This window comes from Homo sapiens, chromosome 10 (genome assembly GCF_000001405.40).
Source record: "Homo sapiens chromosome 10, GRCh38.p14 Primary Assembly".
In the NCBI taxonomy this organism is placed as follows: Eukaryota; Metazoa; Chordata; class Mammalia; order Primates; family Hominidae; genus Homo; species Homo sapiens.
In genome coordinates, this window is record NC_000010.11 from 101974649 (window position 1) to 101997890 (window position 23242).

A 23242-nucleotide genomic window follows, 5' to 3' on the forward strand; every position below is an offset into this window, starting at 1 on the left:
AAACACTGTAATTTGCTGTTTTGTCTCTGGCACAGGGGGAGTGGTACAAGTGACACTGTCTGTAAACAGTAATAATGCCAGATGTAACACAAAGAACAGGATTCCCGCATCTCCCCACCCCGTCCCCATCCCTCCATCTCTCCCTATGACATTCCTGAAGAAACACACAGAAGCCTCCCTACAGTCCATATGCGGCTATCAAATGAAACCGAGTGAGAACCCAAGTTTGTACCGACTCCTCCTACCTCATTCTTACTCAAAGGAAGATTTATTGGAACACAAGAAATACTCAATTGTTTTTACCAGTTGACAAAAAATATAGGAAGGGGAAGGAACAAGGGACAAAGTAAAGAATAGACATGTGACACACCCAGGTCTGGATTCGAAAAAAGCTAAAACGTAAAAAAAAAAAAAAAAAAAAAAAAAGACAAAAAGAGTAACTGAAAATAAAGGCAACCTAAACAAACCAAAAGGTTAAAAAACAAAAAATCCACCTTGAGCCCAGGCCTAGGGGCTCAAAAAAGGTATAGAAAAAGGAAGATGAATTCAAGAGAGAAAGTTACCTGACCAGAGCTCCCGCCAGGTGTAATGCAGGCGTACCCGACACTTCTTCTGGTAGCAGAGCAGTTTGTGTACTACCTGGATGCAGCGTCTGTAACAGGGAAAGCAAAAAATGAGGGTAAGCCTGAGAATATAGTGCAACTCACCAGAGATCCCTTCTTAGTGAGCCAGCTTTGCTAAGGCCACTAAAGACACTGGATATGAATATGTATACATGCAAAAAAATATACAAAACTTCTGGCCGGGCATGGTGGCTCACACCTGTAATCCTAGCACTTTAGGAGGCCAAGGCAGGTAGATCATTTGAGGCTAGGAGTTCAAGACCAGCCTGGCCAACATGGCAAAACCCCATCTCTACTAAAAGTACAAAAAAAAGCCTGGCGTGGTGGTGCACGCCTGTAATCCCAGCACTTTGGGAGGCCGAGGCAGGCAGATCACAAGGTCAGGAGTTTGAGACAAGCTTGGCCAATATGGTGAAACCCCATCTCTACTAAAAATACAAAAATTAGCTGGGTGTGGTGACATGTACCTGTAGTCCCAGCTACTCGGTTGAGGCAGAAGAATCACTTGAACCCAGGAGGCAGATGTTGCAGTGAGTCGAGATCGTGCCACTGCACTCCAGCCTGGGCAACAGAGCGAGATTACATCTCAAAAAAAAAAATAGGCTGGGCACGGTGGCTCACGCCTGTAATCCCAGCACTTTAGGAGGCCGAGGCGGGCAGATCACGAGGTCAGGAGATCAAGACCATCCTGGCTAACAAGGTGAAACCCTGCCTCTACTAAAAATATACAAAAAATTAGCGGGGTGTGGTGGCGGGCGCCTGTAGTCCCAGCTATTCGGGGAGGGCAGGGGGGTGGCTGAGGCAGGAGAATGGCATGAACCCAGGAGGTGGAGCTTGCGGTGAGCCAAGATCACGCCATTGCGCTCCAGCCTGGGTGACAGAGTGAGACTCTGTCTCAAAAAAAAAAAAAAAAAAAAAAAAAGCCAGGTGCAGTGGCATATGCCTGTAGACCCAGCTACTCAGGAGGCTGAGGCAGGAGAATCGCTTGAACCTAGGAAGCAAAGGTTGCAGTGAACCAAGATCGGGCCACTGTACTCCAGCCTGAGCGAAAGGGCAAGACTGTCTCAAAAAAAAAAAAAAGAACTTCTGCCTTCTTCTAGTAGATTAATCAATCTCTCTCTCTCTCTCTCTCTCTCTCTCTCACACACACACACACGCAATCACATACTGCTTGTGCTACCCATTCCCCTTATCAATGGGAAAAGGGTGCTATAACTACTTATAAGTCAATAATCAATTAGGCGCCACTGACGTCTTTCCCTTGAGTACCTTTCCAGGGGAAAAGGATAAACCAGTGGGTCACAATTAAACTATTCTACTCAAAGTGGTATAGTGACATGGAATGCAAAAACACAAAAGTAAAGACCTTAACTCTCTGTATCTATCTGAATGTGGTTTTTATTTAAATTAAATTTTTAATTAAATATATAATTTAAGATACCAGTCTTACTTATAAATAAAATCTATTAAAAAATTAGCTGGGCATGGTGGCACAAGCCTATACTCCCAGCCACCCTGTAGGCATGCACCACCATAGCCGGCTAATTTTTTTTTGTACTTTTAGTACAGATGGGTTTCACCATGTTGGCCAGGTTGGTCTAGAACTCCTGGCCTCAAGTGATCCACCTGCCTTGACCTCCCCAAGTTCTGGGATTACAGGCACGAGCCACCATGCTCAGCCAGAAGTTCTGTTTCTTTTTCTTTCTTTTCCTTTCTTTTCTTTTTTTTGCTGCAAACTGTAAAATTTAAATTCTATTTATATTAAAAGTTAAATTAAAAATGCAGTTTGTCAGTTGTGCTAACCACCTTTCAAGTGCTCAATAGCTACATGTGGCTAATGGCTACTATAGTGAACACAAAAAAATATAGAACTTTTCTATTATCACAAAAGTTTCTACTGGACAGCATTCTGCTAGATCATTGGAATATTCAGGGTTATTCACATCTCAATGACATATATGTTTCTGAGAGTATTTCCAAATAAGCAGTTAGTAGCTTGAGGTTAAGATAAATGATATTTTTAAAAATTATAAACCTACCAAAAACATTTTTTTCATCTCTGACTGAGATAGGATTTTGAAAGGTTAAAAAGCCAGACGAAATTATAAAGGTAAATACTGATGAAACTTACTTCCTAAAAATACAAATAATTTAATAAAAAAAAATTCAATGATTAAAATTAAATGGCAAACTACATGGGAAATTACATTTGCAACAAATGATATAATAGAGTTACTATGTTTAATATATAGAAGTTTATATACATAGATGATAAAAACAGTGTCCTTTGCTATAGTCTGAATGTTTGCCCTCTCTCTAACTCATGTTGAAACGTAATTGCAAATGTAATATTATTAAAAGGCAGGGCCTTTAAGAGGTGACTGGGTCATGAGGGCTCTGCCCTCAGGAATAGATTAATCCACTCATGGGTTAATGGATTAATGGGTTATCATGAGAGTGGGTTAGTTATCATGAGAGTAAGTCTGTTATATAAGCCAGTCTGGCTTTCTCTCCTGAGCCCCCTCACCATACAATACCTTGCACCACCTTGGGACTCTACAGAGTGTCCCCATCAGCAAGAAGATCCTCACCCAGATGTAGCCCCTAGAACTTGGACTTCCTAGTCTTCAGAACTGTGAACCTAAATAAATTTCTTTTCTCTATAAATTTTTCAGTCTCAGGTATTCAGTTATAGCAACAGCAAACAGACTAAGACAACCTCTAACAACAAAGATAGGCCAAGGAAACAGTCAACAAATTCCTCCATCTCCCAAAAAAGGGGAACAGGGAAAGTCAACATTTTTCTATAATGTTCAACTTCATTTTTAAAAGGCATATTAAAACATGATTCTACTTTTGCATATCAAATGAACATAGATTTCATGCTTACAAAGAAACAGCATTCATAATAAAAGAAAACTGGAAACAACTATGGAAAGAACATTTGATGCCAGGAGAAGAGCAAGTAAATCATTACACACATGTTCCAGATTGACATCTGTCCCCCAAAATTCATATGGTGAATTATAAATACACATCAATTCCTCTAGCTAGTGTCTCTGGCTCTCACATCACAGAGGGAAGTTAATAGTAGAGAAATTAGAACCCTCAAAGAATATTGATAAAAATAAAAATAGTACAACCACTTTGGAAAAGTCTGGAGTTTCTCAAAATGTTAGATACAGAGCTACCACATAACCCAGCAATTCCACTACTAGGTGTATACAAAAGAAAAACACAAACAGGCTAGGTGCAGTGGCTCACATCTGTAATCCCAACACTTTGGGAGGCCAAGGCAGGAGGATCACTTGAAGCCAGAAATTTCAGACCAGCCTGGGGAACAAAGCAGAATCCCATGTCTACAAAAATTAAAAACTAAAAAAATTAGGCCAGGCGCAGTAGCTCATGCCTTGTAATCCCAGCACTTTGGGAGGCCAAGGTGTGTGGATCATGAGGTCAGGAGTTCAAGACCAGCCTGGCCAACATGGTGAAACATCGTCTCTACTAAAAATACAAAAAATTAGCTGGGCGTGGTGGCAGGCGCCTGTAATCCCAGCTACTCAGGAGGCTGAGGCAGAGAATTGCTTGAACCCGGGAGGTCGAAGTTGCAGTGAGCCAAGATGGCGCCACTGCACTCCAGCCTGGGCAACAAAGCGAGACACCATCTCAAAAAATAAAATTAAATTAAATTAATATAAAATAAAAATAAATAAAAATTTAAAAATAGCTGGGTGCAGTGGCATGCACCTATAGTCCCAGCTACTCAGAAGGCTGAAACAGGAGGATCGCCTGAGCTCCAGAGTTTGAAGCTATGATTGCACCACTGCACCCCAGCCCAGATAACAGAGTAAGACCCTGTCTCTAGAAAAAATAAAAATAAAACAAAATATATGTCCACACAAAAACTGGTATACAAACAGTAATGGTGGCATTCCTAATACCCAAAAAGTCTAAACAACCCAAATGTCTATCAATTAGTGAATGAATAAATACAACGATGTTGTATTCTAGACAATGAAATATTAACCATAAAAAGGAATGGCTACAACATGGATGAATATGGAAAATAGTATGCTAAATTAAATAAGTCAGTAGTAAAAATCCACATATTCTATTATTTCATTTATATAAAATGTCCAGAATAGGCAAATACATAGAGACAAAAAGTAGATTTTTTAATTTTTGTAGACATGGGTTATCTAGGCCTGAGGGAGAGGACAGAGGAAGAAATACAGAAGAGTAACTACTACTGGGTACAGGATTTCTTTATGCAAGGGTCGATTGAAAATGGTCTAAAATTAGTTTGTGGTAATAGTTGCACAACTCTGTGAATATATTTTAAAAACACTAAATTGTATAATTTAAAGCTGCTTAAAAAAAACTCTGTGGCCTACGTTTTCCAAATATTTGTCAAGATATGCAATTTACAGCTTTCACGGCAATGTTCATTTCATATATTCTATAACTAGGTATGCTTGGATTCTTGATTAAGCCATTAAATGTCCACTTTAATAGCCTATGTTAGGTGGATAAATTGATACTCTTCATTTGAGAGGATTAGCTTTTATATTTCCTATTTTCAATTTAAATTCACAAATTCAACATTCAATTAACTATGATCTCAGCCCTTAGAATCCCTAGTGTATAGAGGTTTCTAAATGGCCTAAAATGCAATGTCTTAACTAAATCCAGATTCTAAGTCTCACTTTGTCATATCCTCGCTGCCTTAAAAGTACTTAAATTAGGACTTTTTTAGTTAAGGGAGGGTTTGGTCAACCACAGGCCCAAGGCTTGGACTGTACCCCTCTGGAACTCCAGGCTCATCACACAAACCAAAAGGTTTAGAAGAAACTGTCAGACCTACCCTTTTCATTCATTCATTCAACAAATCTTGACTGTATACCAACTGAATGCTATTGCTTAAGTCTTATTATACTAAGCTATAAAGTTCCTAGAAAACTGAACCTAGGTAAACTGCTAGTTTCAGGTAAATGAAACCGGCTCCTCCTTTTGTCTTTCGGGGGTTTTGTTTTGTTTTTGTTTTTGAGATAGAGTCTCACTCTGTCACAGTGGCTGGAGTGCAGTGGCATGATCTCGGCTCACTGCAACCTCTGCCTCCTGGGTTCAAGTGATTCTCATGCCTCAGCCTCCTAAGTAGCTCGGATTACAGATGCCTGCCACCATGCCTGGCTGATTTTTATATTTTTAGTAGAGATGGGGTTTTACCATGTTGGCCAGGCTGGTCTCAAACTCCCAACGTCAGGCGGTCCGCCCACCTCAGCCTCCCAAAGTGCTAGGATTACAGGCGGGAGCCACCGTGCCCAGCCTGAGACTCTTTCAAGTTCTATGGCTATAACCCGAGACAAAGAATATCCCAAGACCCTACTGACTTTAGCAGACACCACATTAATCTGTGGGGTATCAATCTGACAGCTGACGGAATCAAGCTAAAATAGGGGTAGCTACTACTATAAAGACACATGCACATGTATGTTCACTGCAGCACTATTCACAATAGCTAAGACATGGAACCAACCCAAATGCCCATCAATGATAGACTGGATCAAGAAAATGTGGTACATATACACCATGAAATACTATGCAGCCAGAAAAAGGAATGAGATCATGTCCTTTGCAGCGACATGGATGAAGCTGGAAGCCATCATCCTCAGCAAACTAACACAAGAACAGACAACCAAACACTGCATGCTCTCACTCATAAGTGGGAGCTGAACATTGAGAACACATGCACACAGAGAGGGGAACAACACACACTAGGGCCTGTTGGGGGGTTGGGGGGTGAGGGGAGGGAACTCGGAGGATGGGTCAATAGGCCATGGCACGCATATACCTATGTAACAAACCTGCACATTCTGCACATGTAATCGTTTTTTTGTTTTTTTAAGAAGAAATAATGAAAAAAAAAGAAAAAGAAAAAAAACAGGGGTAGCTAATTTCTTGGGCTTCTTACCAGAGGAGAAAAGAAGAAAGCAGAGAAAACACTACTAACCTCTCTCTGCAGAATGAGAGCCAGAGACACCAGGTAGAGGAATTAAAATGCCTAACAACTGACCAGGCTTGGTGGCTCACGCCTGTAATCCTAGCACTTTGGGAGGCTGAGGCAGTAGGACTGCTTGAGGCCAAGAGTTCAAGACCAACCTGGCCAACATAGTGATAGCCCGTCTTAAAAATAAATAAATAAACAAAATGCCTAACAACGTACCAAGGATACAAGTGAATTGAACTAAATTTATAAGCTAAAGTCCTAAAATTACTCTTCTCCAGATATTTTCATAGCACTCCGAATAATAAGCCTCCATTGCTACCTTATTAGCTTATTCTACTTGCTCCATTATTCACATCTCTCTCTGTTCTTCTCACTCCCTAAGTGGTCTTGCAGGAGCCTCTCAGACAGAATTTAGTAAAAACTATTTAAACAGTACTCTCTTAAAAGACTTGGGTACAGGCCGGGCATGGTGGCTCACGCCTGTAATCCCAGCACTTTGGGAGGTAGAGGCGGGTGGATCACGAGGTCAGGAGATTGAGACCATCTTGGCTAGCACGGTGAAACCCCGTCTCTATCTAAAAATACAAAAAATTAGCTGGGCGCGGTGGTGGGTGCCTGTAGTCCCAGGTACTCGGGAGGCTGAGGCAGGAGAATGGCGTGAACTTGCAGTGAGGTGGAGCTTGCAGTGAGCCAAGATCGCACCACTGCACTCCAGCCTGGGCGACAGAGCGAGACTCTATCTCAAAAAAAAAAAAAAAAAAAAAAACAAAGACTGGGGTACCTTCAGCAGTGATATTAAAAATATTTTACAGGCCGGGTATAGCGGGTATAGTGGCTCACACCTGTAATCCCAGCACTTTGGGAAGCCAAGGTGGGTGGATCACCTGAGGTCAGGAGTTTGACACCAACCTAGTCAACATGGTGAAATGCCATCTCTACCAAAAAAAAAACACAAAAATTGGCCAGGAGTGGTAGTGCAGGCCTGTAATCCCAACTACTTGGGAGGCTGAGGCACAAGAATTGCTTGAACCCGGGAGGCGGAGGTTACAGTGAGCTGAGATTGCGCCATTGCACTCCAGCCTAGATGCCAGAGTAAGACTGTCTCAAAAAAAGAAAAAAACATGTATTTTACAAACCGTACAGAAAAATAATCTATAAATCAATACATACATGGAAAAATTTTAAGTCATTCCCTTTTATTCTCTAATAAACTAACCTTGTGATATTGTAAAAAGGGTCCCCAACACCCAGGCCATGGACGAGTACTGGTTAGAAACCAGGCTGCACAGCAGGAGGTGAGTGGCAGGTGAGCAAGGGAAACTTCAACTGTATTTACAGCTGCTGCCCATGGTCTGCATTACCACCTGAACTCTGCCTCCTGTCAGATCAGTGGCAGCATTAGATTCTCATAGGAGCACAAACCCTATTGTGAACTGCGCATGCAAGGGATCTAGGTTGTGGCTCCTTATGATAATCTAATGCCTCATGATCTGTCACTGTCTCCCATCACTCCCAGACAGGACCATCTAGTTGCAGGAAAACAAGCTTAAGGCTCCCACTGATTCTACATTATGGTGAGTTACAGAATTATTTCATTATATATTACGATGTAATAATAACAAATAAAATACACAATAAATGTTATGCACTTGGATCATCTCGAAACCATCACTGCCCCCAGATCTGTGAAAAAATTGTCTTCCATGAAACTGGTTCCTGGTGCCAAAAAGGTTGGGGACCACTGTTCTAAAATATATATTTGGTCTTCAACCCTGTTTCCTGACATACAACTCCTAAAATCCTTAGAATCTCCAAAGTGATGTCTGTTTGTATGTTGAGGTGACTGACGGCTGGCCTCCCCTAGGTAGCTTCAGAATGAGGGTTGGTCACCAGGGAGACCAAGGCATGATTAGCGAGCTGGGCTTTCAGCCCTAGCCCTGACTTCCAGGGAGAGAAGAGGGGCTGAAGGTTAAGTTGATTACCAATGGCCAGTGGTTTTTATTTTATTTTATTTATTTTTTGAGACAAGGTCTCACTCTGTCACCTAGGCTGGAATGCAGTGGTGCAATCACGGCTCACCGCAGCCTTGACCTCCACGGCTCAAACCATCCTCCCTCCTCAGCCTCCCAAGTAGCTGGGACTACAAGCACACACTACCACACCTAACTAATTTTTGTAGAGACAAGGTGTCACCAAGTTGCTCAGGCTGGGCTCAAGTGATCCATCTACCTCAGCCTCCCAAAGTGCTAGGATTACAGGCATGAACCATGGCCAGCCAATGGTTTAATCAAACATGCCTACATAATGAAATCTCCATAAGAAACCAAAAGTACAGGGTTTGGAGAGCTTCTGGATAGCTAAACACATGGAGGCCTACAGGAAGGCGAACAAGAATTCATCTACGTGCAGGGAGGTTGGCACACCCCAACTCCATGGGGTCAGAAGCTCCTGGGCTCCAGACCCTTTCAGACCTCACCCTATGTATCTCTTCATCTGACTGTTTATATGTTTCTTTAAAATATCCTTTGTAATAAACTGGTAAATGTGTTTCCCTGAATTCTGTGAGCCACTCTAGCAAATTAATCAAACCTAAGGAGGAGGTTGTAGGAACCCCAATTTATAGCCGGTCCATCAGAAACACAGGCAAAATAACCTTGGGCTTCTGATTGGCTTTGAAAGCCAGGGGTAGTCTTAGGGACTGAGCCCTAAACCCATGGGATCTGAAACTACCTCCAGGTAGATAGTGTCAGAATTGAAATACAGTACACCCAGCTGCTATCTGCTACAGAACTGATTGCTTGCTTGGTGTGTAGGGACTAAACCCTCCCCACATTTGGTCATAGAAGTCTTCTGTGTTGATTGTCGTTGTTGAGTGAGAAAACAGAAAAAACACTATGTTTTTTTACACTCATAAGCCTGTACCAAAATTGCTTACCAAGTGACATAAGTTGCAATATAAATCATCCTAATTGTTTCCAAATAATTTGCTGATTTTTAGAAATTGTGATGTGATCCTGTTTGATACAGTTGTCACTTAATGATGCCCTTGTTTGAGCATGATTTGCCTTAGCAATCTACAAACTCATCTGTCAATTTTCCCATGAACTTGAGAGTCATGAGGTTCCTGGTGCTAATGGCTTTGTTGCAGCCAGCAAATGTGACTAGATGCTGCCCATACATGACTACCTATGCACACACAGTACATTCCTGAATGCCAGCACCTCTCGTATGGCCTGGGTCTGGACGGCCTATATTTGGCCCCCTTTGATAACGCCATCCCACCAACACTGAGCCACTCCAGAGCACCAATGAGATGCGACCTACATCCCCAACCCCTGCGGCCATCTATCCACATCCACTCCAGCACTGCTCCTAGATTCTGTTCCTGTCTCCACAGTCACCAACAGGTGACATCATTAGCCTTGTGGTTTCAATAATTTATACTATTTATCAAGCAGAATGAAAATTTTAACCACTGCTATGGCCTTAAAAATATATATATATACTGGAGGCCAGGCACAGTGGCTCACGCCTGTAATCCCAGCACTTTGGGAGGATGAGGCAGGTCGATCACGAGGTCAGGAATTCAAGACCAGCCTGGCCAAGATGGTGAAACCCCGTCTCTACCAAAAATACAAAAATTAGCCGGGCGTGGTGGTGCTTGCCTATAATCCCAGCTACTTGGGAGGTTGAGGCAGAGAATTGCTTGAACCTGGGAGGCGGAGGTTGCAGTGAGCTGAAATAGCACCACTGCACTCTATCCTGGGCAACAGAAAGAGACTCCATCTAAAAATATATATACACACACACACACACACACACACACACACACACGTGTACATATATATACACACATGTGTACATATATAAATATAATGTATATATACGTGTACACATATATGAATATATATGTGTGTATATATATACGTATATATGTATATATATACGTATATACATGTATATATACGTGTGTATATATATGTGTATATACGTATGTGTATATACGTATATACACACGTATATATACATGTATATACATATATATATACAGATCGCATGGGTTTATATATACACATATATGTATACATGTATATATAATACGTATATATACATACATACATGTGTATATGTGTGTGCATATATATATACTGGAGGCCAGGCATAGTGGTTCATGCCTGTAAATCCCAACATTTTGGGAGGCTGAGGCAGGGGGATCACTTGTGGCCAGGAGTTCAAGACAGCCTAGGCAACACAGCAAAACTCCCATCTCTACAAAAAATATAAAAATAGCCAGGCATGGTGGTGCAAGCCTGTAGTCCTAGTTACTCATGAGACTGAGGTGGGAGGATTGCTTGCACCCAGGAGTTCCAAGTTAGAGTGAGCCATAATCGTGCCACTGCATTACATCCTGGACGACAAAGCAAGACCCTGCCTCTAAAAAAAAATTACACACATAGGCCAGGCGCGGTGGCTCACTCCTGTAATCCCAGCACTTTGGGAGGCCGAGGTGGATGGGTCACCGGAGGTCAGGAGTTCAAGACCATCCTGGCCAACATGGTGAAACCCTGTCTCTACTAAAAATACAAAAAATTAGCCGGGTGTGGTGGTGGGCACCTGTAATCCCAGCTACTCAGGAAGCTGAGACATGAGAATCATTTGAACCTGGGGGGCGGAGGTTGCAGTGAGCCAAGATCATGCCACTGCACTCCAGCCTGGGCAACACAGAGACTCTGTCTCAAAAAAAAATAAAAATAAATGAAATAAAATACACACACACACACAAACACACACACACATATGTATGTACTGGCAGAATGACTCTAAATTTAGTGCTTCTTGTGGGGCTTCTTTCATGCTTGTAGCAATTTCCTATTTCAACACAAAATGAGTTCCACTTTCTCCTGAAATCTTCCTGTAGGACCCACTGAAGTCTGTACCTTTCTTCTGATGCCTACCTACAGGTTTGGAAATATGTGACTTAAGAAGAGTCCAAGTTTTCGATGTAAGAGTAACTTAAAGGAAAATTTACTCTCCCAGAGACTATATCCCCTCACTCCCCAATCCTGTGGTGGCAGTGAGAGTGGCAGCAAGAATCAAGGAGTACAGCTAGGAGGTGAAAGTAATTGGTTCGGTTTTGCTACCTCTTAACTGCTCCAGGCAAGACCTTTCTTTTTTTTTTTTTCTTCAGTATAAGCACCTTCCCCCATCATTACCTACAGCATTCACACACAGATGTGAAATTGTTTCATTTCTGACCCAGATTCTGGCTTTGAGTATTAAGTCTTTCCAAACTCCATATTTCTTCATATTTCACTAGGAAGATTATAAACTTATCTGAAATGGCAGAAATTCATTTTGCTTTCAATTTCTCATTCTGCTGTATACTGCCGAAAAGGGGTACATAATGAGAAGTGAGAGCAGCAGCCTGGCCTGCTGCCCAGCTGGAAGCAGGAAGTTCACCTGATAAGGACTTGATGCTTCAAATTCTAAAAACTGGAAAGGGAGCTAGAAGTGGGGGAAGGAAGATCTGGAAACATGCCCAGGGGTAGTAATGAAGAAAGTGAATTCAGCCTGAGGGTGGGACCTTCTGCCCAGCCTCTGTCAACTTGATGCCTCGTTATCTTCTCCATCTTCCCTAACCCCAGGGCAGTAAATTAAGGAGCAGGTGGAAAAAGCGCCTAAGAAAGCAAGGCAAGATAAAAACTCTTTTGAGGGTGAAGTTATGAACAAGGGCGAGGAGGGAGTTAGAACATTTGGGTAGACCAGGTTCATTGGCTAGAAATGTGGGGGTTTGGGTAAACAGATAATATACCTGTAACTTTACAGTAATGAACATACAATCTTATCATATCAGCCCCACCTTCAACTGTTCCTCATCATCCACTTAATCTTGGGCAAGCTTTTTTTCTACTCTCTTATCCTCCCTCCATGCACTCTACACTCTAACCACCTGGAATTATGCTCTATTCTCCAAACATACCACATTTTCTAGCCTCCAAGCACCTAAACATGCTGGTCCCCTACGTGGTATGTCCTTCCCTGACTCCTCCACACAGAAAATCCCTAGTGTTTCTTCATGACTCAGGTCAAATGCAACCTTCCGATATCTTCTCTAATGCTCCAGTCAGCATAGTCACTCTATACAAATCTTTCCTCCATCACTTATCACAGACATGATTAAGAGAACAGCCTCCGGGGTCAGACATGAATTTTAACCTTAGTTATGCAGCTTACTAGCTGTGCAACTGTGGTACCAGCCTGCAAGATGGACCCCAATCTGGTATTCACACACTCATATAGTCCCTTTCCACATTGCAACAGGGTTGGTCTGTGTGACCATTAGAAATGATATGTTACTTGAGATTAGGTTATACATGATACTATGGCTTCCATCCTGGGCTCTCGCTCCCCTTTTCTCTCTTAGATTAACTGCTTTGGGGAAAGACAGCTGCCATGCCTACCAACCCTACGGAGAGACCCACGTGGTGAAGAACTGAGGCTTACCAACAACCATTAGGTGAGCCTGAAAGCAGATTTTTGAGCCCCAGTAGAATCTCAGATACTTGCTGCCCCAACTAACCTGGTCATCATCTTATTTTAATAAAGTTTAAGCCTTAAGGTTTTTTTTAATTCTTTGCCACTTCTGCATTCTTCTCTTTAACACTCTTTAAGAAAAGCTGTGCCACGTTAATGTGATCCTCAAGTATGCATATTACCTTTATTCCTTAAAAAGCATCCTTTTGAGAGGCCCTATGCCAAAACTATCCAGTTAAGTTTCTCCTGGATTCCTGAACCACAGAAACTGTGAGGTGATAAATGTTTGTTTTAAACCACTACGTCTAGGGTAGTTTGTTACACAGCAGTAGATAACTAATACACCTGGGAATGTAACAGTTCAGAATTTATAGTAAGAAAATTTGGGTTCAAATCTAGGCAATGATGCTTACTAACAGAATAACCCTGGGCAAAGTAATTAATCTCCTGAGCCTCAGTTTCCTTTCTTTTAAAATGAAAAAATTGAAACTACAGTAATACGTGTTACAAAGTAAATAGCACATCCTAAAACTAGGATATAAAATAAGCCAGAAATAAAGTCCATAGCAAAAACAAATCTGAACCCTAAGATAATGAAGTTCAGGGACCCCAGCTAAAATAAGCTGAACACTCATCTGTTAAGTGTTATAAAAAGCAACTGTTCATGGTCTTTGAATTGAAATAAAGGATCAGACTTACTTCTAAACACCCAAAAGGTATGGAAAAATGCAAACTGCAACCTACTTACCTAAAAGTAAAATTTGTATCATTATTTCAGACCTACGAAAGCAAGACTATATAGTTTATAAGCAATCTAAGAAGCCGGAAGGTTGGGCACAGTGGCTCACGCCTGTAATCCCAGCACTTTGGGAAGCCAAGGCAGGCAGATCACCTAAGGTCAGGAGTTCTAGACCAGCCTGGCCAATGTGGTGAAACCCTGTCTCTACTAAAAAATACAAAAATTAGCCAACATGGTGGTGCGCGACTGTAGTCCCAGCTACTCGGGAAGCTGAGGCAGGTGAATCACTTGAATCCAGGAGGCAGAGGTTGCAGTGAGCTGAGATCATGCCACTGCACTCCAGCCTAGGCAACAGAATAAGACTCTGTCTCAAAAAAAAAAAAAAAAAAAAAAAGCAAGCTAGAGGTCTACTCTATTTAGACTGAAATCCTTTATACCTCCCTAGATCCCAGGCCTGGCACTGCAATGGGCTTTACTCAATTTGCTGTTCACCAAATTACCCTCTTGCCCAAAAATCGGAGGGAGCAATTCTGATGTCACACTCAATTCAGATGTTTTATAAGGACTAAAGATAATATACATATTTGAGATCACATTAATGTGGCACAGCTGTTCTTGGGTGTTAAAGAGAAGAATGTAGGAGGAGTGGCAAAGGAGAAACAAAACTCTTAAGGTTTAAACTTTATTAAAATATGATAATGGCTAGGTGTAATGGCACACACCTGTAGTCCCAGCTACTTTGGGAGGCTGAGGTGGGAGGACTGCTTGAGCCTAGGAGTTGAAGACCAGCCTGGGCAACACAGTGAGGCCCTGTCACAAAGTAAAAAGAAAATATGATGATTCTGAGTTGCCTCCAGTTGTGCTCATTATAAAGAATTGTGATGGTCGGCCAGGTGTGGTGGCTCATGCCTGTAGTCCCAGCACACTGGGAGGCTGAAGTGGGCGGATCACCTGAAGTCAGGAGTTAGAGACCAGCCTGGCCAAGATGGTGAAACCCCATCTCTAGTAAAAATACAAAAATTAGCAGGGCATGGTGGTGTGCACCTGTAATCCCAGCTACTTGGGAGGCTGAGGCAGAAGAATCACTTGAACCTGGGAAGCAGAGGTTGCAGTGAGCCGAGATCATGCCACTGCACTCCAGCCTAGGCAACAGAGTGAGACTCCGTCTCAAAACAAAAACAAAAACAAAAACAAAAAACTGTGATGGTCAAACAGTTCTCCTCAGGAGGCAGGACTCTCCCGGCGAGGCCACTGGAGACATAATCTGCCCAGATAATAGGGCTCCAGCTAGGCTGTCAGGACAATGTAGGCTAAGAATGGATCAGAAGCGCTATCTCTCTCTAAATTCGTCCTACCTAATGCGAAAGCTCAGAGACAACTAAGTGGTCTGCTGGTATTGCATATCTTTGATTACAACAGACCCCTGCGATCACTATATTCATGTGTCGGCTCCCTCTTCATGCAGTGTGCCTAGAAGTGATCATGCGGATATGTGCAGAATCCACATTGTGGTTTGTGCTTATTACCTCTTCTGAAAAGATGTACAGATCCAGGCCAGAAAATGTTCCCTAACACTTCTCCACATGCAAATGTGTTTTTCTTAAAGTATACACAGACCATGAACTTTCTTTTTTTTTTTTTTTTTTTCCCAGACAGAGTCTTCGCTCTGTCGCCCAGGCTGGAGTGCAGTGGCACAATCTCAGCTGACTGCAAGCTCCGCCTCCTGGGTTCACGCCATACTCCTGCCTCAGCCTCCCAAGTAGCTGAGACTACAGGCGCCCACCACTGCGCCCAGATAATTTTTTGTATTTTTTGTAGAGACGGGGTTTCACCGTGGTCTCGATCTCCTGACCTTGTGATCCGCCCGCCTCGGCCTCCCAAGGTGCTGGTATTACAGGCGTGAGCCATGGCGCCCGGCCTACACAGACCATGAATTTTCTAACATTCAGTTCTTTAAAATAGATTTGTACACATTAAATGTGTACATATTTGTACTTACATATAGAGATCCATAGGAAACTCCTTCATCATGTGTGTTACAATAAACTCTACCATCAGGTCTGAAAGGGGAATAGAGAAAAACTGGATCAATTACAATGGAATTCATTTCTTGTCTTTGAGTTGGAAAAAAAGCTTCTGAGTACACCTTGCACTCACACTGAACGGCATCCACTAACCACATCTTTATTCATATACACTTATTTTATATAACGCATTTTGTGTAACACTGTTCACCACCTGCCACTTGTAAAGTAATAAGAAATTATTTCACTTGCTGACCTCCAGAAGGATACCCTGACCTGCCAATAAATTCAGATAAATGGAAAATTTCATTGTATAGATATTTCATCCCATGGCATTAATGCAGACTGCCAAAGGGAAATCATATTCTGAGACTAGACAATGAAGCAAGCTCTGAGAAGAAATTATGGATCACATTTGTGTAACCAGAGACTCAGCTCTAAAGCTATGTCAGTCAATCTCATCTTACTATCATGCTCAGTTAGACAGATATTGACTGAAATGGGCTGTGGGGCTTTGGGTCAAGAGAGGCTTATTATACAGCCTTAATTACTGTTTCTAAAATTAAGTAGATTTAGAAACTGGGGCTGAATATCCAAGTGAAATGGGATTAAGAATTCAGCTAATTCCCTGAGGAAAATGCAGAATTCTGGACAGACAAAATTACCCAAGATACAGCCCCCTACCTGTCAACTCAGTCAGCCTCATCTCAGTTTAATATACTCAGGGGAAGTTTTGTATATGTAAACCATGAACTTCAAGCCTCCTGGCCAGCCAGCACATCAATTCAAACCAAGAAAGGATGGGAAGAATTTGAAATCTTTTTTTTTTTTGAGATGCAGTCTCGCCCCAGCTGGAGTGCAATGCCGTGATCTTGGCTCACTGCAACCTCTGCCTCCTGGGTTCAAGCGATTCTCCTGCCTCGGCCTCCTGAGTAGCTGGGATTACAGGCGCACGCCAACACGACCAGCTAATTTTTGTATTTTCAGTACAGACAGGTTTTCACCATGTTGGCCAAGCTGATCTCAAACTCCTGACCTCAAGTGATCCGCCCACCTCAGCCTCCCAAAGTGCTGTGATTACAGGTGTGAGCCACTGCGCCCAGCCTGAAATCTTGATCATGTATCTTGTAAATCATGTATCAAGTTTAGACACAGCCATTTGTCTCACTGGAATGACTTTTTTCTTTGAACAACAGGACCCTTTTATTGACCACTCTATAACTGGGGTTGCTTTACCAAACACAACAATAAACATGATTCTTAGGCCAGGGAAAAAACACAACTAATAATTTATTTGCGGAAGAAGCACATCAAACAGGTTCTACTCTTCATCTTCATCATGAAAGCCTATCGCTGTCACAGAACAATGTCAATGTTGATGATACTCACTCACCCAGTACTGCACATACTAAAGGACGGCAGGGAAGATTCTTGTCTGCTGCCTTCTTCCTGTGTCTCATAGGCTTCACACCAAAAAAATGAAGAAAGGAAATTAGTAGACACCGGCACTGACATCCAATGGCCCATCATCATGTTCCTTGTGCAAATAAAATCACTATTACAGGGATACTTCCTTTTCTTTCTCTTTTTCACATGGTGGGAGAGGAATGAGGTAGCATGGGATGAGGCGGGGAAGGGAGGACTTGTGAATGCTTCAGTTATCAATGCACGCCTGTTACAAAATTACAATTCACAACCTCAAAGGGCACTAGAGAATACTACAATGGGAAAACTGTTGGTTTTACTTTGCTTTTAGTTATATAAGTGGCATTACTAACGACAAAAGAGGTACACTGGTGTTTTTCTTTGACGATAAATAATAATAATAAAAAAAAGAGGAAGTGATGGTGCCACCTATAGAAGCAGCAACAGTAGTAGTTGCAAAAAAATAAAGAAAGTTTTACATCTAAACCTCAATGTAATTTTTTTTTTTTTTTTGAGACGGAGTCTCGCTCTGTTGCCCAGGCTGGAGTGAAGTGGCACGATCTCGGCTCACTGCAAGCTCTGTCTCCTGGATTCGCGCCATTCTCCTGACTCAGCCTCTTGAGTAGCTGGGACTACAGGTGCCTGCCACCACACCCGGCTAATTTTTTGTACTTTTAGTAGAAACGGGGTTTCATCCTGTTAGCCAGGGTGGTCTCAATCTCCTGACCTTGTGATCCCGCCTTGGCCTCCCAAAGTGTTGGGATTACAGGTATGAGCCACCAAGCCCGGCCCTCAATGTGATATTTTTTAACATACCTCCAAGCTTTAAGAAATTCCCTGATCCTCCATATTCTATTTGCCCACTTCTCAGATGAACAAATCTGAGCAGCAGCTAGTCTTAGCCACTCAAAAATTATACTACATTTTGAAAACAAAAGGCTTAGAACCATTTCCTTGCTGAAACCTATATTATTGAAATCCAGTATCAGGCCAGGCGCGGTGGCTCACACCTGTAATCTCAGCACTTTGGCAGGCCAAGGCGGGCAGATCATCTGAGGTCAGGAGCTGGAGACCAGCCTGGCCAACGTGGTGAAACCCCATCTGTAACGAAAATACAAAAATTAGCCGAGCGTGGTGGCAGCCACCTGTAATCCCAGCTACTCAGGAGGCTGAGGCAGAAGAACTGCTTGAGCCCAAGAGGCAGAGGTTGCAGTGAGCAGAGATCACACCATTGCACTCCAGCCTGGGGGGGAGAGAGAGAGAGAGAGACTCTCCCTCAAAAAAAGAAAAAAAAAAAAAAAGAAATCCAGTATCATTGCCACGCTTGTGAATCTTCCAAAACTCTTGATTAAGAAACAGCTCCATGACACACAAAAATCCCAACAACAAGCATGGGTCTGTTGAACAGCCGTCATGCAAAGCCCTTTGGCACAACTTTCCACCCACATTTGTTCTAGTAAGATCAATTTCATCCCAACCCTGCCGACATACAAAAAATTTCCTCTAAGAAAAAACAAGAAGCAAAAGAAACACCTACCATTCTATGTAAGTTTACTCGAAAATTCATGTTGTCATCATGCAAAAATGCATTGGCATATTGATCCTAATAAAAATATAGAGAAAAAGTAAGAAGCGAGAGCTATATTTAAGAAACTGTAATCTATCACACTTCGTACAAATCCTTGGACTTTGAGAACTACTTTCAAGGATCAGCTGGACAGCTAATAGGATGAGCCTAGAGCCTTATGTCAAACCCTACTTAAGCCATGAGATTTTTCTTTAGTGTAATTTCCCAGTGTATCTCTAACTGGTCAAAAATTTCCAAGCAAAAACAATAAAAATTAAGACGCAGGGACTTAAGGCAGATGCTGAGAGGAATGAGAGTAATCTGTTTTCCTATTCCCTCTTCCGTCCCATCTGCCCAAGGAGCTGGCTCTGTTTGTGATAGTTTAAGGTTTTCACAGAGGCTGCAGGATTCATGTGCAGGCTCCACATGAGGGTTTAGGAGCAAGAAGAAAAATCTGTGCTCTGCTGGGAATGGGTTCAGCCCAACAGAAGCAAACTGCTACACAGGCAGCGTGGAAGCAGGCAAGACCCTGTCTATTCCGGGCTTTCCTGAAGACTGACAGAAAATCAAAAACCTCTTACCATGGATTAGTAATAAACATCCCTTGGCCCTTTCCCAATACCTTTTCTGAAGATCTGACAAGCCTACAGACTCCAATTACAAGGAACTGTTACAATTTGTGAAAAACAACTCCTTTAAAGATTTTCTTAGAAAGATTTTTGAAAAGCAATTATACCAGGCCCACTGCTAATAAGCAGCTCTTCCATAACCAGCCACCCCTAATCTTGTGAAAAGGAGGTCATCTTTCCACAGAGAACATGAAGAGAGAGAGACTGAGAGAGATCTCTACTTCATGTGGAATATCTTCACCATTTTTCTTAAGAGAGAAAAGAGCAGAGTGGGGAATAGTAAAGGGGGAGGTTGAAGCTATAAATTTAGCTCTAAACTCACTCAAGTTCTGCCATGCCTGTGTGTCACCAAGATACATGGTGAGTTTGAACCTAATTAGTCCAACCAAAAGTGGCTTCTTAAAAAGCCAAAGCATCTCTTCTTTTTTCCCCTCAGCTCTTGTTCCTCGGCAAACTGCAATTACTGAGTTTCCAATTCCCCTCTCTGGCTTTACTATCCACCCCTTCACCCCATCACAGGAAACCTGAGCTCCTTTTTTATTTTTTAAACTGCTCCACTGCCGAGCATGGTGGCTCACGCCTGTAATCCCAGCACTTTGGGAGGCCGAGGTGGGTGGATCACCTGAGGTCAGGAGTTTGACACCAGCCTGGCCAACATGGCAAAACCCCATCTCTACTAAAATTACAAAAATTAGCCGGGCAAGGTGGCACTGCCTGTAATCCCAGCTACTAGAGGGGCCGAGGCACGAGGATCGCTTGAACCTGGGAGGTGGAGGTTGCAGTGAGCCAAGATCATGCCACTGCACTCCAGCCTGGGCAACAGAGCGATACTCCGTCTCAAAACAAACAAACAAACAAACTGCTCCACAGTTTAAAAACACAGTGCTAAACAGCGTGGAAGCAGACAAGACCCTGTCTATCCATGGCTTCATCGAAGACTACACTCTAGTGGGAGAAGACAGATAATACAAAGGGGGAAGATTTTCTCTCCTAAACTTTAGGACCCTAAATGTCATGAGACAGTAATGGGGTGAGGGGAGGCAGGGAAAGATAGCACTTTGTAAAAGACTGCCTAATAGCAGAAGGCTCGTGAGACCTACCTCTGCAATACATGTAAGGATAATCAGACAGAGTTTGCCACTGTGAAGCCTGTGTTCATCTGTAAAGAAAAAAGAAACTCTTCTCTGTAAATCATCCAGATTTACATCATCTGTTTCAATACAGAACAAGGACGTATATCATAAAAGGAAACATTCACACTTTCTCTTCCCACAAAATCCATAAATGAAAATCAAGGTACTACTATAGTAATTCTTGCTTCCCTCCTAGGCAAAAGAATTCCCCCAGAAGATTTATTTTTTTAATATCCTGGTAGTCTGTTAAATGGCTAACCACCTTCCTGAAAGCCATCTAACTCACAATGGTTCCTACTGTCATGGCTCAAATAGTGGCCAGTACTCTCACATCAGCCCTTTGCTGATAGAACTTGAATAGTCAGGTCCATTTCCTTTTCCACCCACCCTCTCATCTGCCAGCTCTAAGCACCACCTACCACAAAATCTAGAAAGATTTCATGACTGCTCATAGCAAACTGGCAATGAAATCAAAAAGAAATTAACTGGAGACTAGGGTCCAGCCCACGCTTCTCCTTGCAATTGTATACTTATGCCCTAGAAAGCTGTGAACTCTTGATCATTTTTCTTCCTGTCAAAGTTACTCATTCAACAAATATTTACTTAGCACTACTATGTGGCAGGCACTGTGCAAGGCACTAGAGATATAGCACTGAATAAAACAGACAAAGGTCCCTGGTCTCTCACAACTCACATTCTAGTTATTAAAAAAGAAGAAGACAACCTCAGTAGCAGGGCTCTAAGCCCACACACAAAAGGACAAAAAAGAGCTAATCCATTACTGCCAAGTACGAGAACCCATCAAGCTTATGTTACTTTCCAGAAACTCTGTGGGTGAAGGAGTGAAAAGGAAGTAAGAAGAGGATCATGCCAGCATAGCCAAAACAGACAAATGGCTCATGATTTTCAAATTAGCTTCAACAGGACCCAGAATGAAGTCCAATCTAGAGAGAAGACCTCTTAATGGATTAGAGTGCTGTAGAAGTTAGCTATTACTATTTACCCTGACATTGACCTGCTTCTTTCTCAAAAATGGGATCTATCAATTAAAACCTGACAATTAGATGGCATAATGGGGATTACAATCCACAAATATACTCACATCTCCTCAGAGATAGGCAATGCAAAAAGAGTAATGGTGACAATCCCTATCTGACACTCCCTGGAGCTTCATCAAAGCCCCGATATAGCCAAAGAGTAATGCCCTTGCCTCCAGAAAACTAGATTCACAACTCTTCTACCCACCTTTAGCCAGTTTCTATGGCACTATCCTCCCACAAACTGATACGCAACTCCCACAGAAAAGCCTGCAGCTATCTCTCCACTTAAAATTTTTTTTAATTTTAAAATTAAAGTGTTTATGAATACAAAACTAGGCTTATTTCATTATAGACAGTCTTTTAAACTCTAAAAAAGCATATACACACAAAACAATGAAAATCAAATTTAATCATACCACCCAAATGTTATAACTGTTAAGACTTTGGTGAATCAACTTTAAGTCTATGCATAGATATACATGGTTTTTACAATTTTTTGCCTAGTATCTATTATAAAGGTTGAGCAGAAGCTTCTTTAAGGTGACACCACCAAAGTCAGAAAAATCCCAAGTAATAAAGGCTTTAAAAGCAGGGGAAAACCCAAGGGAATAGGGGCTGGGCTCAGTGGCTCACACCTCTAATCCCAGCACTTTGGGAGGCTGAGGTGGGATGATCACCTGAGGTCAGGAGTTGGAGACAAGCTTGGCCAACATGGTGAAACCCCTTCTCTACTAAAGATACAAAAATCAGCCAGGCGTGGTGGCATGCACCTGTAATCCCAGCTACTCAGGAGGCTGAGGCAAGAGAATCGCTTGAATCCACAAGGCAGAGGTTGCAGTGAGCCGAGAAGATCATGCCACTGCACTCCAGCCTGGGTGACAGAGTGAGACTCTGTCTCAAACAAACAAACAAAACCAAAGGAATGATAAATACAAAATTCTGGGCCACGCGTGGTGGCTCATGCCTGTAATCCCAGCACTTTGGGAGGCCGAGGCGGGTGGATCACAAGGTCAGGAGATCGAGACCATCCTGGCCAACATGGTGAAACCCCATCTCTACTAAAATACAAAAAATTAGCTGGGCATGGTGGCGCAAGCCTGTAATTCCAGCTACTCAGGAGGCTGAGGCAGGGGAATCGCTTGAACCCGGGAGGCAGAGGTTGCAGTGAGCTGAGATCGTGCCACTGCATTCCAGCCTGGCGACAGAGCAAGACTCCGTCTCAAAAAAAAAAAAAAAATTCTGGAGAATGGAGAGGAGAGAAGTGATTGGGGAGGGACACACAGGTAGCTTCAACAGCATTAATGTTGTTTTATTTAAGTTGGGTGGTAGGTTCACATATGTTCATTTTATTATTATACTTTATAAGTTATGCTATTTATTATAGTTATTATAAACTTTATACCTTATTATACATATCTATTAAAAGTATCTTTTTGGGTTTAAAGGATAAATATATAAGAAAAAGGAAAAAGATAATATCCTCATGGCGGTGGTGGAAACAGAGCCAAGAAAAAGTTGCTT

The 23242-nt window shown here is 42.3% G+C and overlaps 1 protein-coding gene across 19 annotated transcripts in view; it reads right to left on the reverse strand.

The window, feature by feature from the left end:
- Positions 1-23242, reverse strand: part of ARMH3 (armadillo like helical domain containing 3) — a 210575-nt gene that overhangs the window by 129050 nt on the left and 58283 nt on the right. For 16 of the 19 annotated variants that reach the window (XR_001747199.2, XR_007061987.1, XM_047425735.1 and 13 more), the window contains 5 exons: positions 20649-20707; positions 18890-18955; positions 17321-17390; positions 15903-15963; positions 564-652 (listed from right to left, as the gene is read on the reverse strand). Coding sequence is in view for 17 of the 19 variants with exons in the window: in XM_047425735.1 (XP_047281691.1) it covers positions 564-652; positions 15903-15963; positions 17321-17390; positions 18890-18955; positions 20649-20707 (345 nt within the window). In the remaining 2 variants the exon portion in view is untranslated. The remainder of the gene's footprint in view (positions 1-563; positions 653-15902; positions 15964-17320; positions 17391-18889; positions 18956-20648; positions 20708-23242) is intronic. The other 3 variants (XM_011540154.3, XM_047425736.1, XM_011540152.3) reach the window with 1 other exon arrangement.